The sequence below is a fragment of the Homo sapiens genome, chromosome 12 (assembly GCF_000001405.40).
Source record: "Homo sapiens chromosome 12, GRCh38.p14 Primary Assembly".
Taxonomy (NCBI): Eukaryota; Metazoa; Chordata; class Mammalia; order Primates; family Hominidae; genus Homo; species Homo sapiens.
Window position 1 is genome coordinate 88,227,537 of NC_000012.12, and position 22,281 is coordinate 88,249,817.

General features: G+C 41.1%; 1 pseudogene, besides 3 other annotated features; it reads left to right on the top strand.

Moving 5' to 3' along the window:
* Positions 293 to 839: an enhancer, noted in NCBI's record as "OCT4-NANOG hESC enhancer chr12:88621606-88622152 (GRCh37/hg19 assembly coordinates)". NCBI's record gives its function as "activates a minimal SCP1, AML or CMV promoter by ChIP-STARR-seq in naive and primed H9 embryonic stem cells {active_cell/tissue: H9 hESC(naive and primed)}" and the evidence as "EXISTENCE:reporter gene assay evidence [ECO:0000049][PMID:30033119]".
* Positions 5,754 to 6,358, top strand: LOC101929554 (suppressyn-like; annotated as a pseudogene).
* Positions 16,193 to 16,771: an enhancer, noted in NCBI's record as "OCT4-NANOG hESC enhancer chr12:88637506-88638084 (GRCh37/hg19 assembly coordinates)". NCBI's record gives its function as "activates a minimal SCP1, AML or CMV promoter by ChIP-STARR-seq in naive H9 embryonic stem cells {active_cell/tissue: H9 hESC(naive)}" and the evidence as "EXISTENCE:reporter gene assay evidence [ECO:0000049][PMID:30033119]".
* Positions 21,203 to 21,403: a silencer, noted in NCBI's record as "peak1868 fragment used in MPRA reporter construct". NCBI's record gives its function as "represses an SCP1 promoter by STARR-seq MPRAs in K562 erythroleukemia cells {active_cell/tissue: K562}" and the evidence as "EXISTENCE:reporter gene assay evidence [ECO:0000049][PMID:32103011]".

Below are 22,281 nucleotides of genomic sequence, written 5' to 3' on the forward strand. Positions count from 1 at the left end.
CCCCGTCCTCACTTGGGGCTGATGTGATTTTAGGCCTCAGCCCATCTGTACCCAGGCGCTCATTAAAACAGTGTGTTGTTCCACCCACCTTGTGTTTTTTGTTGGTGCATTCTCGGGGTTCAAACCAATACAAGAGCCTTGCATCAGGTGCTGAAACCTGAGACGGGCTCTGGTCCATGTGCCCTGTGGACCTACCCCTCCACCCCAGAAAGCAGGCCACAGCAGCTGGACAAAGGAAGCTCCTCAGCCTCCAGTCACCTCTCTGTGCATGCACATTGGTCACTGATCTCACCTACTGGTAAGTTTCCTGGGAGCCTGGTTAACAGAGATAAATCCACACGGCCTCTCTTGGTTTCTCTGGTCCAGAAATCCAACGTTGGTCCAAGAAGGCTCCGCCGGCATGTGTGAAGCACTCGCTGATCATCTGGTCTTAGGGGGATGCCTCTAAGCCATTTGATCCCGTTCTAGGAACGAAAAAGGCAGCAGTGAGGATTGCTCTTTTATCATCTCCCTGCGGCCATCCAGGAAGGTCTCCTTTTCCTTGTTCTCCCGAGTGTACCCTTTGTTATGGGAAATTCCCTGTCTTCCACTCCAAAGGACAGCCCTCTAGGCTGCCTCATAAAAAACCTGCAAACCTTAGGCCTCGGGTAAGATATCCACCCTAAGTGACCTGTCTTTTATATTGCAATTCAGTTTGGCCACAGTACGAATCGGATAATGGGTCCAAATGGCCCCCAAATGGAACATTCAACTTTACAATTTTAATTGACTTAAGCAACTATTGCTGACGACTGGAAAAACGGGGAGAAATTCCTTATGTCCAGGCCTTTTTCACACTCAAATTACAACCTGACCTCTGCAATTCTTGCTCACCTATTCAAATCCTCCTTCTCCATCATAGCCACCCTGAACGCCTTTCTCCTCCCGACCCTACCTCTTTTTCCTGGTTTGATCCAGCAGACTGCTGTCCACCCTTCCCAGCCCCTACCTCTCCCTCTCAACCATCTTCTTTAATCCCCCAAGCCTTCTCTTTTTCTTCTCAGCTGCCATCTTCCCAGCAGTCATCTTCTCAGCCACCACCTTCCCAGCTGCCATCTTCCCATCCAGCACCACCTCCAAGAGTATCCACTTCTTTTCCTACACTGTCCTCTCCTCAGGACAATTCTAGCACTGCCTGTACCCATTCTTCTCCCTCATTGCCCTCTCCTGAGGCCCATAAACCCATCCCACCACCTTAAACCCCTATCTATTCTCCACTGCTTATTAACTCAACCCCCTTTCCCCTTCAAACCCTCAACAGGAACCATTTCCAGGTTCTTCCTTCTCTCCCGTCCATACTCACTCAGGTGCCATCTTTGACCCATGCCCCACCCTTACTTCAGCACCTGTGCTAGAGTGCCCCCTTTGGGAAGTAGCAGAAACTGAAGGTATTGTTAGAGTTCGTGTTCCCGTCTCCCTCACTGATCTCTCTCAAATTAACAAAAGACTCGGTTCATATCCAGAAGATCCTACATCTTATATTAGGGAGTTTCAGTACTTCACCCAGTCTTATGAACTAACTTGGCATGACCTCTACATTATCCTCTCTTCCACCCTCACCCCAGAAGACTGGGACTGTATCTGGACCTTAGCTCAGGCACATGCTGATACAATTCCTCACCAGGCTCCTACCCAGCCTACTGGCACAGAAGCAGTCCCCAGTCAGGACCTCCACTGGGGTTATCAAGATGGGGCCCCTGGACACTGCTATCGAGACCACATGATTGTGTGTCTCCTTGCAGGACTCAAAAAGGGTGCCCATACAGCGGTAAACTATGAAAACTTTCAGAAATCACCCAAGGTCCTGATGAAAACCCAGCCCTTTTTCTCTCTCATTTAACTGAAGCTATGAGAAAATATACCAACCTAGACCCAGCCAGCCTAGAAGGAACCACTATCTTAAATGTTTGATTCATCTCCCAATCCACCCTTGATATCCGGTGCAAGCTTCAGAAGCTTGATGACGGCCCTCAAACCACACAATGAGACCTTCTTAATTTAGCATTCAAAGTCTTTAACAATCATGATGAGGAAGATAAAAGGCAAAAACAGGCAGAATTTCAAATGCTTGCCTCTGCCATCAGGGGCCCTGCAGGCCCACGGGGCCACAGCTCCACACGGAAGCCTCCTAGTAATCCACCTCCACCTGGCACCTGTTTCAAGTGCAGCAATGAAGGCCAATGGTCTAGAAAATGCCCTAACCCAGGTAAGCCCATCAGGCCATGCCCCATCTGCGGAGGGCCCACTGGAAGTCGTACTGTGAGTGGCTTCTGCAAGGACCACCCCCATCTCTTCCTGAGCTGGCCAAAACCTCCTACTTGGATCTCATTGGCTTGCCACTGAAGACTGATGTTGCCCTGGAATGGATGCCCTGGCAACTACCATCTCTTCATCCAAGCCAAGGGTAACCCTGATGGTGGCAGGTAGGCCAGTATATCTTTTAATTGATACCAGGGCAACCTACTCTGCTTTACCTAATTTTTCAGGACCCACCCAGTCCTCCAAAGTCTCTGTTGTGGGTATTGATGGACAAGTCTCCAAACCCTGAGTCACCCCTCCACTCTTCTGCTCCCTTCACATCTTTTCCCTCACTCACTCTTTCTTAATCCTGCCCTCATGCCCAACTCCACTCCTAGGCAGAGACATCCTTTCAAAACTCCACACTACTCTCCACTTCCACATTCCCCATGGTAACCAACACATCCACCAAGACCCCTCTGGTGCTTCTAGCTTTCTTCTACTCCTCCAACCTCCCACCCTAAAATATGCAACCTTTGCTTATCCCCCATCCGTAGTTAACCCTGCTGTTTGGGATACTTCCACACCCTCAGTTGCAAAACACCACACCCCCATCCGCATTACCCTTAAAAACCCCACCCAGTTCCTTTCACAGAAGCAGTATCCAATTACCCAAGCAGCTCTTGCAGGCCTAAAGCCTATCATTTTCATCTCCTTCCAGTCACCTATTCTGCCCAACAAACTTCCCTTTTAACACACCAATTCTACATGTTAAAAAACCAGATGGAACTTATCACTTAGTCTGGGACCTCAGGCTCATTAACCAAGCTGTGCTCCCAGTATGTCCAGTAGTTCCTAACCCATACATTTTACTTTCCACAGTTCCCTCCAGTACCACCCATTTTTCCATCCTAGACCTAAAGGATACTTTTTTTTACAATTCCTTTGCACCCCAATTCTCAAGACTTCTTTGCCTTTACGTGGGAAGACCCCTACACCCACCTTTGACATCAGCTCACCTGGTGCATACTACCTCAAGGTTTTAGAGACAGCCCCCACCTTTTTGGACAGGACCTTGCCCACGACCTCTGTACCTTATCCCTAAAACTGTCCACTTTCCTTCAATATGTTGATGATCTGCTCCTGTGTAGCCTCTCTCAAAGATTGCAATACCCATTTTATCTCTTTTTTAAACTTCCTGGCAGAGCAGGCGTATCGGGTCTCCCCTGAAAAAGCACAAATATGCACTCCCTCAGTCACCTACCTAGGCCTAGCCTTTACCCTGCAAACCCAAGGGCTCAAAACTGACTGAATATCCCTCCTCCAGTCCCTCCCACCTCTGCAAACTAAGGAAGAAATTCTCTTTTCAAGGATTAGTGGGATATTTTAGGCTTTGGGTTCCCTCCTTCGCTCTACTTGCCAAACCGTTATACCAAGCTGCTAAAGGCCGTCTCCATGAACCTTTAAACCCTGCACAGCCTATTATCCAACCTTTCTGTCTACTCCAAAAGCCTCTCATCTCAACCCCCATCCTCACTCCCCCAGACCTCACCAAACCTTTCTCCTTCTATACTGACAAATGATGTGGAGTGGCACTAGGTGTTCTAATCCAGTATAAGGGACCTGCCCTCCGGGTTATCACCTACTCCCCCAGACCTCACCAAACCTTTCTCCTTCTATACCGATGAACGACGTGGAGCTGCACTAGGTGTTGTAACCCAGTCTAAGGGACCTACCCTCCAGGTTATCACTTACCTCTCCAGACAGCTTAAAACCACAGTTCTCAGATGGCCTGCTTGCCTCCAAACACTGGTGGCAAATGCTGTCCTCACCCTTGAAAGCCTAAAACTATCTCTTCATGCCAACCTAACAGTTTATTCAACCCATAACATCAAAGACATGCTAGCTCACCGCAGTGTACTAAGTCTCATCTCTGCCCCATGGCTCCTCCAACTGTATGCTTTATTCATAGAAACTCCCCAAATCACTGTGCTAACCAGCTCCTGTTTAAACTGGCCATGCTCTTACCTGCAGCTACTGCCTCCCAAGACCCTGCACACTTCTGTGTAGACACTGTTCAAACCTTTCTTATACCTTTTCCAAACCTAACAGGCCAACACCTTCCAGATGCCTCCTTTATTTGGTTCGTAGATGGCAGCTCCTTCCTATATCAAGGATGCCAACATGCTGGCTATGCTATAGTGCTACGCCCCACACAGTATTGAAGCCAGTCTGCTCCCCCTAGGAACCACCTCCCAAAAAACTGAACTCATCACCCTCACTCAAGCACTCATGCTAGCAGGCGGACAACAAATTAACATATATTCAGATTCTCATTATATGTTCCACATAGTGCACTCACACTTGTCCATCTGGAAAGAATGGGGTTTCCTAACTGCAAAAAACACTCCTGTCATAAATGGCTCATCAGCAAACTCCTTCAAGCTGCCAGACTCCTGCAGAAAGTTGCCATCATTCATTGCAGGGGCCACCAAACCCCAGACAATCCTATATTGGCTAGAAATGCTCTAGCAGATAATTTAGCCAAACAAGTAGCCCTACAACCTGTGTAAGGCCAGTTTCTGTCCCTGTCCTTGTTCTCTCCTCTTTACTCCTCAGAAGAAAAGGAGGACTTCCAAGCCCAAAACCTTCAAAAGCAAGGACCACGGTATGTCAAGGAAGGGTGTTTCATTCTTCCTCACTCTCAGATAATCCCTATCCTCCAAACCCTCCACAACTCTTTCCATGTTGGTTACAAACCTCTCTTGCAACTTCTCCACCCTATTCTCACTTGTCCTCTCCTTTCCAGCCGTGTTTGAGAAATTACTCAGTCCTGCTCTATCTGCCACTCAGTGTCACCCCAGGATTCCCTCTGGCTGCCGCCTTTTCATATCCACCAAGCCCAGGGCCTGGTGGGTAACTATATGTATGATGAGAGTTTCTGTTATGACATTTGCACCTTCTGAAGTTGTTGGGAATGCTTCTACCCACCAGGAGAAAGTACAAACAAAGACTAGAAGATAGCAGAGCCATTTATAGGGCAGCATGTGAGTGAAATCTACTTGCAAATCTTGCCCGGGTAATCCTCCCCTCCTTAATCCAGACATGATCTTTCATTCGTGAAGCTGCAAATGAGGTCATGCCTCTCCCTGTTGACACCTCCTTGTCCTCTCAACATAACTGTCTTGCAGGCACAGAAGTATTTATTTGCCAACCTGACCCTCACAAAAAGCTACAACTGAAGTGGACAGGCCCCTACACTATGATACTCAGCATGCCAACTGCAGTGAGAATCCAAGAACTCCCTCGCTGGATCCATCACACCAGGGTCAAGCTCACCCCCAAGGCTACTTCTTCCTCCAAAACATTAACAGGAAAGTGGTCATCCTGGCCAATTTCTCCTACCAAGCTTAAATTAACCCAATTTTTTTTTCTTAGAGCCAAAAGATGAGGAAGACTAATCACTTGCTTTAGAAATGGCCTATATCTACCCAACTGCCTGCTGTACCTCACTTCCAACCAAAAGTCTTAATACAGGAATATCTCTCATCACAATCCTAATATTGTCAGTAGCTGCCCTGCTGTCCACAGCAGCCCCTCCGAGCTGCCATGAGTGTTATCAGTCTTTCCACTGTGGAGGAAAAATGCAACAATCCTTTACTTAACATACTCGTATAGAAAAATCCTGTTATGGAAACTTAATTGAGGAATGTGTTGAATCAGGGAAAGGTTATTGTAAAGTAAAAAATCCAGGAGTATCTGGCAGTTGTAATGGGACTATATGTCCAAAAGGTAAGCAGTGGCTTTGCTTCACCAAAATTGGACAATGGGGAGTAAATACTCAAGTGCTAGAGGACATAAAGAGAGAACAGATTATAGCCAAAGCAAAAGCCAAAATAAACAACTCCCCCCACCACCCACCCAAAATCACCCATGGTATTTTCATGCTTTTATACAAAACTACAAGCAGATGTATCCCTTCCCAAGTCAGGAAAAAGCTGTTTGTAGATCTAGGAGAAAGCATCACACTTACCATGAATGTGTCCAATTGCTGGGTATGCAAGGGAGCTCGTATGAGTGAAGTGAACAGTGGCTGTGGTATGGGATAGACATTCCCCCTTAGTTACTAGCATCCCAAAACCCCAGCCTCATTTTCAGTCCTCAGGAACACCCACAGTCCTAGACACTTACGAACCCAGTAAGAGGGGTGGTGTGCATATTCCACAAGTGGACTGATGAAACCCATCACACTGTAGGTGAAAGCCCCTGTCACCAAACCCTAACAGTCAATGCCTCCACAGCAGAGTGGTGGCCAAGGTTACCCCAAGGAGCCTGGTCTCCTTCTAACTTAAGCTACCTCAATTGTGTCTTGTAAAAAAAGGCCTGGTACTATACAAACACCACTAACCCTTAAGCTGCATACCCCTGCCTAAGTGCACTATGGGACAATCCTATGAACACCAGCCTACAATGGATTGCCCCTGAAGGATTCTTTTGGATATGTGGAACCCAGGCTTACTCATGGCTACCTTATCACTGGCAAGGTACTTGCTTCCTAGGCATAGTTAAACCTGGATTCTTTTTACTTCCAAAGCAGGTGGGCAACACCCTTGGAGTCCCTGTATGTGATAACCTAAACAGAGAAAAACAATCCTTAAAGGTAGGAGGAAGCCAAAGATGGCGAGAGGACAAGTGGCCTCTGCAATGGATCATTGAATATTATGGCCCTGCCACTTGGGCTGAGGATGGTTCATGGGGTTATCACACTCCCATATATAGGCTAAATAGAATAATTATACTACAGGCTATTCTAAAGATAATCACTAACCAAACTGCCTCAGCCCTGGAAATGCTTGCACAACAACAAAACCAAATGCACACGACAACTTATCAAAACAGACTGACACTAGACTACTTATTAGCAGAAGAGGGTGGGGTCTATGATAAGTTTAATATCTCCAATTGTTGTCTTAACATAGAATATAATGGAAAAGTGGTTCTAGAGATTGCCTCAAACATCAGAAAAGTAGCCCATGTACCAGTCCAAACCTGGAAGGGATGGGACCCGATAAACCTTCTAGGAGGGTGGCTCTCTAATTTAGGAGGATTTAAAACGCTGGTAGAGACAGTAATCTTCATCATTGGGTTCCTCCTGTTTCTCCCCTATCCCACTGATAATGAAAGCCACTAAAACTTGTTGAAACTACAGTTAACTGCCAGACAATCCAGACGATGCTCCTGCTACAATGACACAATGGATACCAACCCGTCTCTCAAGAATACCCCAAAAATTAAGTTTTTCTTTATTCCGAGGTGCCCATGGCACCCCCTATGTCATACCTGAAGTAGTTATTGAGAAAGTTGTCCCTTTTCCCTTTTCTATAACCGAATAGACAGGAATTAAAGATTCTCCCCAGGGCCTGAAAGTTTGGGGGGATGAATAACTCCTCCCTCCTCAGGCCCAGTCCCAAGGCACAAAGCCACTTGCGTCAGCAGCGTGCATCAGCAAGATAGAAGAAGCAGGAAGAGAGCTGGCTGGAAGACATGTACCCACTGGAGATCGAGAGAGGGAGCCATCAGGGTACCACGTAGCAGTTAGGTCAGACTGGGACACTTCTTGTTTACTGGAGACTATAAAACCCCTGCCTGCCCTCACCTGGGGCTGACACCATTTTAGGCCTCAGCCCATCTGCACCCAGGTGCTCACTAAAACAGCGTGTTTCTCCACACCACCTTGTGTTGTTTGTTGGCACGTTCTCAGGGTTTGAACCACTAAAAGAGCCTTTCAGAAAAGAGGTTTAATTGACTCACAGTTTTGCATGGCTGGAGATGCCTCAGGAAACTTACAGTCATAGTGGAAGGCACTTTTACACAAGGCAGCAGGAGTGAATGAATGCCAAGCAAAGGGGGAAGCCCCTTATTAAACCATCAGCTCTTGTGAGAACTCACTCACTATTATGAGAACTGCATGGGGGAAACTGTTCCCATGATTCAATTATCTCCACCTGGTCTCACCCTTGACATGTGGAGATTATTACAATTCAAGGTGAGATTTGGGTTGAGACACGGAGCCAAATGATATCAGACCCATTGTTTGGTCAGGAGTATGTTGTTTAATTTCCATGTTCTTGTGAATTTTCTGAAGTTTTCTCTGTATTTATTTTTAGTTTTAATACCATTGCAACCAGAAAACTTACTTAATATCAGTCTTCTTAAATTTGTTTAAATTTGTTCTGTGTTATATCACATGACCTATCTTGGAGAATGTTTCATGTACTGTTGAGAAGAGTGTGTATTCTGTAGCTGTTAAATGGAGTGTTCTTTATGTGTGTCTGTTAGATCCATTTGATTTAGAGTGTAGTTTCAATTCAGTTTACCTTATTGATTTTTGTCTGAGTGATCTGTCTATTGATGAAAGTGTGGTGTTGACATCCCATACTATTAGGCATTGCAGTCAATGTCTCCCCTCAGATCTATTAATAATGCTTTACATATTTATGTGTCCCAATATTGAGTGCATGTATATTCGTAATTGCTATATCCTTCTACTGAATGGACTTCTTTATCATTATACAATAACCTTTTCTGTCTTTTAAAAAATTTTTTGACTTAAAGTCTATTTTATTGGATAAAAGTATTATTACTCCTTCTCTTTTTTGGTTTCTATTTTCATGGAATATCTTTTTCATCCCTTCACTTTAAGTCTATGTTTGTCTTTACAGATGAAGTGAGTCTCTTATAGGCGGTATATAGTTGGGTCTTGTTTTTATCTCTAATCTATTCAGCCATTTTGTGTCTTTTGATGCTAGAATTTAATCCACTTACATTCAAGGTAATTATTGATAGGTAAGAACTTACTACTGCCATTTTGTTATCTTTTAATTGTTTTATAGATCCTTTGTTCCTTCCTTTCTCTGTTGCTCTCTTCCTTTGTGTTTTAAGTAATTTTTCTGGTAGTATATTTTGATTTATTACTTTTCTGGGGTAAGTATCCTCTATAGGTCTTCTACTTTGTGCTTACCTTATGGCATAAAGAAAAATCTCATAGCTATAATAGATTATTTTAAGCTGATAACAACTTAACTTTATTGCAAAAAAAGCCCACTTCAATTTTACTGTATTTTCTCCCCAATATTTTGAGTTTTGATGGTATAATTTAGATCTTTTTATACTGCTTATCACTTAACAAATTATTATAGCTATTATAAAATTATTAATAGCTTACATTATTGATTTTCATGCTAAAAATTTCAATGATTTATACACCATAGTTAAAATATTTTAATATTCTGAATTTGACTGTATACTTACTTTTATCAATGATTTTTAAACTTTCAGATATTTTTATCGTACTCATTAGAATTCTTTTCTTTCTGCTTCAAGAATTCTCATTAGCTTTTTTTGTAAGACATGTCTTGTGGTGATGAACTTTCTTAGTTTCCGTTTGGGGAAATTTTTATCTCTCTTTCATTTCTTGAGGACAGCTTTCCTTAATATGTTAGGGTTGGTTGGCTGGTTTTTTCCTTTAGCACTTTGAATATATCATCTCCCTCTCTACTGGCCTGTAAGATTTTTGCTGAAAAGTCTGCTGCTAGATATATTGAAACTTTCTTTTACGTTATTCATTTCTTAGCTCTTGCTGCTCCCAGAATCCTCTCTTTGTGCTTCATTTCTAACAGTTTGGTTATAATATGCCTTGGGGTAGTCTTATCTGAATTAAATCTGGTTGGAGACCTTTGACCTTCCTGTACCTAAATAATTACATCTTTCTTTAGGTTTTGAGCTCCTGTTTTTAAAAATAAGTTTTCTACCCCTTTATCTTTCCCTTCTCCTTATTGAACTCCTGTGATTCAAAAACTTGCTCTTTTGATGTTGTCTCAAAAATCCTATAATCTTTATTTCTTTTTATGCTTTTTTTTCTTCTGGCTGTCTATTTTCAAATAATCTATCTCCAAGTTCACTGATTCTTTCTTCTCCTTGATTAATTTTGCCATTGATGCTATTTTTTGCCTTTTTAATTTTGTTCATTGTATTTTTTTATCTCCAGGATTCCTGCTTGTTTTCTAAATTATTATTTTAATCTCTCTATTAAATTTCTTATTCTGGTCACATATTATTTTTCTAGTTTTATTATATTGTTTTTCTGTGTTTTCCTGACATTTACTGAGCTGCTGCTGCTGCTGCTGTTGCTGCTGCTTTTTCTCCTTGTTCTTCTCCTTCTTCTTCTTCTTCCTCTTCCTCTTCTTCTTCTCCTTCCTCTTCTTTTTCTTTTTGAGACAGGATCTCACTCTGTCACCCAGGCTAAAGTGTAGTGATGTGATTATGACTCATTGCAACCTCAAACTCCTGTGCTCAAGCAGTCTTCCTGCCTCTGCTTGCTGAGTAGCTGGGACTACAGTTTCACACCACCATGTCCAGCTAATTTTTGTATTTATTGTAGAGACAAGATTTAGCTATGGTGTCCAAGCTGGTCTCAAACTTTTGGGCTTAAGCAATCTGCTCACTTCAGCCTCCCAAAGTATTGAGCTTCTTTAAGATAGCTATTTTGAATTGCTTGTCAGCCATTTCATATATCTTCATTTCTTTAGGGTCAATCACTGGCAACTTAATCTGTCTGGCAATGTTATGTGTCCCTGATTGTTCTTGATCCTTGTATATAGATGTCTGTGCTTTCAAAGAAGTAAGTAGTTATTCTAGTCTTCACAGACTGACTTTGTCTGGGAAAGCCCTTCAGCAGGCACAGTATTGGGATAGGTAGGCCAGAGGCCAGGGCATTTGCAGCTAGTGTACTGCTATTAGAAACCTGGGGCTTGCTATTGCAGGCATGGTGCTGGAGAATGCAAGAAGTTCAGGGCAGGTGCAGCCTGTGTGGCACTGGGGCATACCAGAAGCCTGGAGCCTCTGGGGGATGCCTGCCATTGAGACCTGCCTGAAGGTGACCTGGTGGGAAGTGGGCTGAAGATCGACTCTTCCACTCAATCCTGAATCCTGGAGATTTGTAGTTCTGCCTGACACCAGGTTGGGTCAGTAGAGGCTCAGTCTATGGATACTGGCTTGGAATATGGATCTATGGGGGTCTGTCTAGTGCTGGATTTTACTATGGTTAACCCAGTGTTGGAGTCTAAGGCAAAGTCCTGTGCTCACTTTCCTCTCTTTCTCCCAGACAGATGGTATCTCTCTTTGCACTGTGTTGCCTGGGCTTGGGGAAGGGGCTATGAGGATAATGTATAACTGGCTTTCCTACCCTTTTAAAGGGGTCTTTTCTTATTATAGTGACACAATCAGGTACTATAGTCTCTCATTTGGCTTCCTTATCTCGAGGGAAATCATTTTCATGCATGGATATTTATTATTTGTTCAATAGATGTTGATGTTTCTGTGGTGGTACAGTCACTGGAAATTCCTTTTTTTAAAACTATATTTAAAGTTCTAGGGTACATGCGCACAACGTGCAGGTTTGTTACATATGTATACATGTGCCATGTTGGTGTGCTGCACCCATTAACTCGTCATTTACATTAGGTATATCTCCTAATGCTATCCCTCCTCCCTCCCCCCACCCCACGACAGGTCCCGGTGTGTGATCTTCCCCTTCCTGTGTCCAAGTGTTCTCATTGTTCAATTCCCACCTATGAGTAAGAACATGCGGTGTTTGGTTTTTTGTCCTTGTGATAGTTTGCTGAGAATGATGGTTTCCAGCTTCATCCATGTCCCTACAAAGGACATGAATTCATCCTTTTTTATGGCTGCATAGTATTCCATGGAGTATATGTACCATATTTTCTTAATCCAGTCTATCATTGATGGACATTTGGGTTGGTTTGAAGTCTTTGCTATTGTGAATAGTGCTGCAATAAACATCTGTGTGCATATGTCTTTATAGCAGCATGACTTATAATCCTTTGGGTATATACCCAGTAATGGGATGGCTGGGTCAAATGGTATTTCTAGTTCTGGATCCTTGAGGAATTGCCACACTGTCTTCCATAATGGTTGAACTAGTTTACAGTCCCACCAACAGTGTAAAAATGTTCCTATTTCTCCACATCCTCTCCAGCACCTGTTGTTTCCTGACTTTTTAATTATTGCTATTCTAACTGGTGTGAAATGGTATCTCATTGCGGTTTTGATTTGCATTTTTCTGATGGCTAGTGATGATGAGCATTTTTTCATGTGCCTTTTGGCTGCATAAATGTCTTCTTTGGATAAGTGTCTGTTCATATCCTTTGCCCACTCGTTGGTGATGTTGTTTGTTTTTTTCTTGTAAGTTTGTTTGAGTTCTTTGTAGATTCTGGATATTAGCCCTTGGTCAGATGAGTAGATTTCAAAAATTTTGCCGCATTCTGTAGGTTGCCTGTTCACTCCAATGTTAGTTTCTTTTGCTGTGCAGAAGCTCTTTAGTTTAATTAGATCCCATTGGTCAATTTTGGCTTTTGTTGCCATTGCTTTTGGTGTTTTAGACATGAAGTCCTTGCCCATGCCTATGTCCTGAATGGTATTGCCTAGGTTTTCTTCTAGGGCTTTTATGGTTTTAGGTCTAACGTTTAAGTCTTTAATCCATCTTGAATTAATTTTTGTATAAGGTGTAAAGAAGGGATCCAGTTTCAGCTTTCTACATATGGCTAGCCAGTTTTCCCAGCACCATTTATTAAATAGGGAATCCTTTCCCTATTGCTTGTTTTTGTCAGGTTTGTCAAAGATCAGTTGGTTGTAGATGTGTGGTATTATTTCTGAGGGCTCTGTTCTGTTCCATTGGTCTATATCTCTGTTTTGGTACCAGTACCATGCTGTTTTGGTTACTGTAGCCTAGTAGTATAGTTGGAAGTCAAGTAGCGTGATGCCTCCAGCTTTGTTCTTTTGGCTTAGGATTGTCTTGGCAATGTGGGCTCCTTTTTGGTTCCATATGAACTTTCAAATAGTTTTTTCCAATTCTGTGAAGAAAGTCATTCGTAGCTTGAAGGGGCTGGCATTGAATCTACAAATTACCTTGTGAAGTATGGCCATTTTCACAATATTGATTCTTCCTACCCATGAGCATGGAATGTTCTTCCATTTGTTTGTGTCCTCTTTTATTTCGTTGAGCAGTGGTTTGTAGTTCTCCTCGAAGAGGTCTTTCACATCCCTTGTAAGTTGGATTCCTAGGTATTTTATTCTCTTTGAAGCAATTGTGAATGGGAGTTCACTCATGATTTGGCTCTCTGTTTGTCTGTTATTGGTGTATAAGAATGCTTATGATTTTTGCACATTGATTTTGTATCCTGAGACTTTGCTGAAGTTGCTTATCAGCTTAAGGAGATTTTGGGCTGAGACGATGAGGTTTTCTAAATATACAATCACGTCATCTGCAAACAGGGACAATTTGGCTTTGTCTTTTCCTAATTGAATACCCTTTATTTCTTTCTCCTGCCTGATTGCCCTGGCCAGAACTTCCAACACTATGTTGAATAGGAGTGGTGAGAGGGCATCCCTGTCTTGTGCCAGTTTTCAAAGGGAATGCTTCCAGTTTTTGCCCATTCAGTATGATATTGGCTGTGGATTTGTCATAAATAGCTCTTATTATTTTGAGAGACATCCCATCAGTACCTAAATTATTGAGAGTTTTTAGCATGAAGGGCTGTTGAATTTTGTCACCACTGATCCCACAGAAATACAAACTACTATCAGAGAATACTATAAACACCTCTACACAAATAGACTAGAAAATCTAGAGGAAAGGGATAAATTCCTGGACACATACACCCTCCCAAGACTAAACCAGGAAGAAGTTGAATCCCTGAATAGACCAACAACAGGCTTTGAAATTGAGACAATAATTAAGAGCCTTCCAACCAAAAAAAGTCCAGGACCAGATGGATTCACAGCCGAATTCTACCAGAGGTACAAGGAGGAGCTGGTACCATTCCTTCTGAAACTATTCCAATCAATAGAAAAAGAGAGAATCCTCCCTAACTCATTTTATGAGGTCAGCATCATCCTGATCCCAAAGCCTGGCAGAGACACAATAAAAAAAGAGAATTTATACCAATATCCCTGATGAACATCGATGCAAAAATCCTCAATAAAATACTGGCAAACCGAATCCAGCAGCACATCAAAAAGCTTATCCACCACGATCAAGTGGGCTTCATCCCTGGGATGCAAGGCTGATTCCACATATGCAAATCAATAAATGTAATCCAGCATATAAACAGAACCAAAGACAAAGAACACATGATTATCTCAATAGATGCAGAAAAGGTCTTTGACAAAATTCTTAGCCTTTCATGGAAATTCTTACTCTGCTGTTTTACTCCACCCTTCCATTATGTTGATGCAAAAGTAATTGCGGTTTTTGCCATTGAAAGTGATGGTAAAAACTGCAACTACTTTTGCACCAACCTAATAATTCTGTTGTTATTTTAGTTTACATTTTCTGACTGGCTAGCTTCAATTTACTTCTACAAAGAGCCATTTGGTGGGTTAGTTCTTTCTCATGATTAGCTCATGTGTTTCTGGAGGTGTGGGGACCAGAGCATATGACTCAGATCTAAGTCATTCTGCACATGGCACTGCTCCATTCACTGTGATTCACTTAACAACTGGAAATCTGACTAAATAAAAGTCAGTGAAATGACCCAAGATTTTACTAACACTTCATTGACTCAAAATGAGAGAAAATATACGTTTAAAATTGTGGCAACCATCTTTCCACTGTAAAGAGAGATTCTATATGTGAATAGATCCAGGACAGATTAGGCATATGATAGAAGTAGGAAATTGGGTTGCAGTGATATTGTTTGAGGGCCTGGTTAAACTGTATGTGAAAAGACAATAACATAAGTTAAAGTAGAAGCAACTCGAATCACAACTGAGTGGTTGGCCAACTTTTGAACAAGGACTAGACTTCATAGCTAGTCTGGCCAAGCTCAGGAGGTCACATGAAGAGCAATGTGGGCCTCAATTCCAGTCTTGGAAGTTGGCAGATTTTATTAAGTGTAAGCAAAACAACTGCTTAAACTGTTCTCTGTTTAAGCAATGGTTTAAGCAGCATGTCCTGTGGTCACACTGAATAAGACCACAAGATGTGAAACTTTGTTTTGAATTCAGCATTTAGAACATCAAATAAGGTCAAACAATGAGAAAGTTTTAAACCAGATCCATTTTATTTAAAAATAAAGAGATTAGAGAATATTGTTTTGGTGTAAGCTTCCACTTTGTTTTCTTTACTTTTCTTTTCTTTTCTTCTGTCTTTCTTTCTCTCTCTCTTTCTTTCTCTTTCTCCTTCCTTCTTTCCTACATTTCCTTCCTTTTCTTTTCTTTCTTTCCTTTTTCTCTTTCTTTCTTTCTCTATCTCCTTCCTTCCTCTTTCTTTTCTTTCTCTCTCTCCTTCCTTCCTTTCCTTCCTTTCTCTTCCTTTCTCTTTCTTTCTTTCCCTTCCTTCCTTTCTCTCTTTCTTTTCCTTCCCTTCCTTCTTTCTTTCTTTTCTTTCTTTCTCTTTCTCTTTCTTTCTCTCTCCTTCCTTTCCTTTCTTTCTCTCTTTCTCTTTCTTTCCTTCCTTCCTTCTCCCTCTTTCTTCCTCTCTCTTCTCCTGCCTTCCTTCCTTCCTTCCCTCTCTCTCTCTGTCTCTCCCTTTCTTTCTTTTCTTTTCTTTCTTTCTTTTCTTTTCTTTCTTTCTTTCTTTCCTTCTTTCTTTTTTTTTTCTTTCTTTCTTTTTTTTTTTTTTTGAGATGGAATCTCTGTCACCCAGGCTGGAGTGCAGTGGTGTGATCTCTGCTCACTGCAACCTCCGCCTCCCAGGTTCAAGAGATTCTCCTGCTTCAGCCTCCCCAGTAGCTGGGACTATAGGCACGCACTACCACGCCTGGCTAATTTTTATATTTTTAGTAGAGATGGCGTTTCACCATTTTGGGCAGGCTGGTAACTCCTGACCTCATGTGATCCGCCCACCTCGGCCTCCCTAAGTGCTGGGATTACAGGTGTGAGCCACTGCAACCAGCCTCATTTCTACCTGTAATTTGAAGTCTGAGATAGCTGTAACTACAGTAGCAGGGTAGAAAAGCCAAAAATTCTCTGCCCTAAGCTAGTATTTGATTCAAGCAATATTAGAAGTGGGAAACTTAGCAAGAGATATGACTGGTAGTTAGAAAAATCATATCCTAGCTTCTCAAGCCCCTCCCATATTCTTCCAATTAAGTAGTCATTGCCTGACAATGGGATGAATTACTCCCATTGAGAAAATACACTCCAGAGGCATAGATACAAAGAAGAAGGAAATTCAGCTCGGGGCTAAAGAAATTGGCAGTGCAGTGTCGATGTACTAGTTTCCCAGGACTGCTGCAACCAAGTACCACAAATTTGGATGGCTTTGAAAAACATACATTTATCATCTCACAGTTCTGGAATCTAGAAGTCTGAAATAACATGCCAGCAGACTTTCTTCCTCTGGAAGCACCCGAGAAAGAATCTGTTCCATGCCTCTCTCCTTGCTTCTGGAAGTTGTCGGCAATCCTTTGAGTTACTTGACATGTAGACACATCACTTTAATCATTCACATGGCTGTCTCCCTCTGTGTGTCTGTTTCTGCTCCTGTTATAAAGACACAGTCATATTAGATTAAGAGCTCACACTATTCCCATGTGATATCACCTTAACTAATCATTTGCAACTACCCTATTTGCAAATTAGGCCACATTCTTGAGGTACTGAGAGTTAGGATTTCAATCTGTCTTTTAGGGGGCCACGACTAAAAGTACTATAGTAGCCATGGCCAATTTCTTGAAGACAGAAAATCCAGCCATGTTGTCCAGATTTAAATACTCTGATTCTTCATGATAGTTCCCTTTGTTTACTACCCCATGAATAGAGAAAATGCAAATAGGTTAAAAATATACCAAGAGTTCAAGTAAGTTTTACTGTTAGACAAATCTCAAGCCTTACAAAAAAGAGGCTAAATTTTCTCAAGCTTTAAAATAATCCTCAGGCTCTAGAACCTGAGGTTAAATGAAGTACACTGATAAATAATTACGGGATGCCCTTCGGATATGGTCATAGACAAGAATTGTGTAAACTCAACAGATTGAATTGTCAAAGCAGGTGCACATAAATTATAGATCTTACCTGGTATCAAATTTTATTAATTATTTAAAGGCTACTCACAAACAGCAGGTATAAGCAAAGTCCATAGATTTCAGATTTGCCTACAATAAGAAAAATAGACCAGAAATATCCTACTTTGTAGATAGGAAATCCCTGTGTACAAGGAGATCTGGTGGAAGTCATTCTTTTCCCCTGTTATCTCCACTAGGGAAGAAGTGGTCCACTAAACTGCCATTAACCATTTCCTTCTCAACAATAGAAGTCCTTAGAGAGCAGAACTATATTTCACTCCTAGGTCAAGGAGCCCTTTCTTTCCCTGTCATGCAAGACATTATATGAATTATGTATCAGCAACCACTTTAATGTTGTTTACCTTCCCAAAACAGCAGCTTAAAAGTGTGTATTGAATGTTTTGGGATTTATTAAACACAGTATATAGCATTAGTTCTCTAGGTGAAGAGGAGTTAGAGATGGATCTGACTGAGAGGACTGTACCTCGAATAGCCCTTTTGAACCCAGAACTCTGTGTGGTCAATGAATGAGATTTTTATTTCTCATTATTTCTTTGGGAAAGCGAAGGAGGATGTGTTTTCTGTGGGATGTGACATAAGTTTATTATGTAGACAGATATTTTTGAGGGTTTATGAATGGGAAGATGAAGTAGCCAAATGATTGGACATTTCTTTGGTTGTTTGTGTATTGTTCAACATCAATTCACCCTAATTCCAGTACTGCCATTGTGGATTGATTCAGGGATGCTCTATTGATAGAAACATATAATCCATGGTGATAGAAATAAATATATTCCATCCCCTTGGCTAGTCATTTATAGCCAAGTTCAGGAATTTGAGTGTGACACAATCAATATTAGTAAGGTGTTAGGACAGGCCAGAAAAAGCATCTTGCTCTTTTCCCATTAGATTTGATTAGAGATGATCTAAGTCTGAATTAGAGCAGCCTTCTCCAAATAAAAAAGACACAGAATCTGATAGTAGAGGAACATGATAGATGAACAGAAAAATATCGGTCCAATTGTCTTTGGAATTGGGTATCCTCTCAAATGAAATTGAATAAAATCTACTAGTACATAATTCTTAAAAATTTAAATATATTTTCAGTGGTTTGTAATCCAATAAAAACTTCTTTCAAAGCATCATATTTTTCTGGAGTCCATCTGAGATTAATTAAAGACAGATTAGAATGATAAGATTGCATAATGGGAGGAAATACCAGGGCTGTTATTTTGTATTCTTTTTTTCTTTTTTTTTGAGATGGAGCCTCACTCCATCACCCAGGCTGGAGTGCAGTGGCACAATCTTGGCTCACTGGAACCTCCACCTCCTGGGTTCAAGCAAGTCTCCTGCCTCAGCCTCCAGAGTAGCTGGAATTACAGGTGTAAGCCACCACACCTGGCTAATTTGTGTATTTTTAGTAGAGACAGGGTTTCATCATGTTGGTCAGGCTGGTCTTGAACTCCTGACCTCAAGTGATCCTTCCGCCTTGACCTCCCAAAGTGCTGGGATTACAAGCATGAGCCACTGCTCCCGGCCCTAGATTTTGTATTCTGTTTTGAATATATACAAAAAGTAATGTGCTTTAAAAAGTCTACCTGATTAATGTGCTTCAAAAGGTCTACATGATTCTTCTCCTGGCTGACCTCCTACCTCTCCCCTCCTCATCCATTTCGCTCCAGCTCAATCAGCCTCCTTGCTGAACTCCCACCTCAGGGGAACTTTGCCCCTCCCAGCCTTTCTTCCTCAATGCTGTTCTCTCAGGTATCCACATGAGTTCCTAAACTCATTTAGATTTCTTTTCAAACAAAATCAAACATCAACTGCAATTTAAAAATTTAAGGAAATCATAAGGGTAAAATGCTGAAAAGGTAACAATTACCTATAGGTAAGAACATGATGCTAGATGGATAACCAGGTTTTCTTTAAAAAAAAAAAAAACTTACTAAAAATGAAAAAGGAAATAGATTAATGGTCGTAAAGGCCATGTCTTCAAGTCCAATATATATGGTTCTGCCTTCCCAGAATTGATGTACTTAGTGTTGGCACATAGTGTGGCAATTGTGGTGGGTTGTGGAGATTTTGGAGAGTGGAATAAAGGATTGTAATTCTGCAAAATGTATTTTAAAAGTAATTCTCCCCTCTGTATGGTGCTTTTTTCTTTTTAGGGTGTTTACTCTTCATCATTATTTCTTTGTTCTTATCTTTCTTCCAAGATAGTTTACATACGTGATCGCATCTAAACACTCCTGAGGTCTTTGAAAGTCTTGAACAGCCAAGTATGAGCAAGGTATAGTTCAGAGGACAGGGTCATTATTTTAAAGCATAGCTGGCATGATGAGGCATAGAAGTATAAGCCTGAGTTTCCACACAGAGGCCAGTGGGAAAAGAGCCCAAAGGAGCCCTCATGCCTATAAGCAGAAAAAGGCAAAGAAGGCCTTGAGACTTTTAGTGTAGTCTGGGTCAAAGATGTACTGGAGTCAGAGATAACTTGACAATGACTCAGCGAAAAGAAATCCAGACTTCTTTACTGTGGCTTGGCAAGTTGGCCAAATTAAATATTTGGTGAAATAGAGAAATTGATTTAATAAAACCACAGTTGTTAAATGAAAAAACATTAAGCCACTTATATGTAGAGTTTATTGCATTTTCCAGTCTCAGAAGATCTGGAACGTGAAGATGACTATGTTGTTGCTAACACTAAGAACTGTGCCACTCCATATTCCCTTGAATTCTTACAATAAACTTCCATCACTGAAGGTACATTGGAAGTTTTACATCCATGTTTGTGTATGTGCACTTACATGTCATCATGAATAGCCTGACTAGGACACATACTGAAAATTTATTAGTAATAAACAGTTTGTAAGGGACCACAGATCTTTATATGTTTCAGAAACCTAGGTGACAGAATTGTAAGAATTGTATCTTTTAATCTATGATAACTATATTCATTATTCAGAAAGTTGTTTGCTAAATATATTTTAATTAAGAAAATATTTATTTAAATAATAATAATTACTATTCACTGACCAACAGTATTCGAGGAGCTCTAAGTATATTTTCTCATTGGATCCTCACATCTAAAGAGATATAATTTTAATTTCCTTTTTCGAAATGACAAAATTGATGTTTAGAGAGTTAAAGGAAAAGTTTTAAGAATACAACTCATGGCAAATTCAGGATTTGAAGTTAGATGTAACTGACTCTGAAGTCTGTTCATTCCACTAGCCTGCTCTCTCTCATTATATGTTGTCAGTTTATTGGTGAACCCTCATTATCTTTAAAGAAATACTTATTTGCATAATAATAACAGCTATCATATACTGAGCACCAACTACAAGGTATTGTGTTAGGCTAAGTTCTTGTCATACTGCCTTCACAGCATAGAAATAGGTATGTAAATGAATAAATGCAATAATATCTGAAAGAATACGTTTATTTAAACAGTTGATCCCATAGGAAAAGTAGATTTAAGGAATACATTTCATAGTCACTTTCACATGCTCATTGGGTGGAATGACAAATGAAATGGCAGAGATTATTTACATTATTTCTCTTTCTCTCTTTAAGCATACAAATTAATTGAAGTAACTATAATGTGACTAGAATGGAATGCCAATGTGCTGCACACATGCACAAAAGTATTTATCTTTTTTGCACTGAAAAGAGTCACTTTTTAGTGCAATGTCCACAGTGTTCTTTTATAACGGGGTGGTAACAGCCCTTTAAACTTCTTATTTAATCCTCAGAATATCCCTATATGTAAGTAGTTCTATTAGTTCTATTTTACAGGTGAAGAGGTTAACACATGCCCAAAATGTGCACCTGCATAATAAACCCTCTTTATAAAAGTAGCAAGCTAGATGTCAGTAAATAAATTCATGAGTCATTTCAGTATCTTCCCCAGTTGTTATGAGTTCCTCTAGTACTATGATTGTGGTAGGCTAAATAATGGCTCCCAAAAGATGTCCACATACTAATTCCTGGAATTTGTGAATATGTTACCTTATATCAGGAGTCCCCAACCTCCAGGGAACCTGTTTAGGAACCAGGCAGCACAGCAGGAGGTGAGCAGTGGGCAAGTGAGTGAAGCTTCATCTGTATTTATAGCTGCTCCCCATTGCTTGCATTACTGCCTGAGCTCCACCTTCTGTCAGGTCAGCAGAGGCATTAGATTCTCATAGGAGCACAAAACGCTATTGTGACCCATGCATGCAAGGGATCTAGGTTGCATGATCCTTATGAGACTATAACGCCTGATGATCTGTCACGGTGTCTCATCACCCCCAGATGGGACTGTCTAGTAGTAGAAAACAAGCTCAGGACTCCCACTGTATCTACATTATGGTGAGTTATATAATTATTTCATTACATATTACAATATAATAATAATGGAAATAAAGTGCACAATATATGTAATGCACTTGAGTCATCCGGAAGCTATCCCCCCAACCCGTCTGTGGAAAAATTGTCTTCCATGAAACCAGTTCCTGGTGCCAAAAAGGTTGGGGAGCACTGCCTTATGTGGCAAAAAGGACTTTACTGATGTGATTAAGTTAGAAATTGTGAAAAGGGAAGATTGTCCTAGACTATACAGGTGGGCCAAATGTAATCACAAGGATCTTTATGAGACCCACACACACACAGATTGAGAGAGAGAGAGAAGGAGATAGAGACAGAGAGAGAGAAGGAGACAGGAATGTCAGAAGCAGAAAGGAAACTGACAGTGAAAGAGGTTGTTACGTGCTTTTAAGATGGAGGAAGGGGGCATGAGTCAAGGAATGCAGTGGCCTTCAGAAGCTGGAAAAGGAAAGGAAACATTTCTAAGTCCTCCAGAAAAAATATAGCCCTAGGAATTGCTTGACTTTATATTTCTGATCTTTAGAACAGTTAAGAGAATACATTTGTTGTAGGA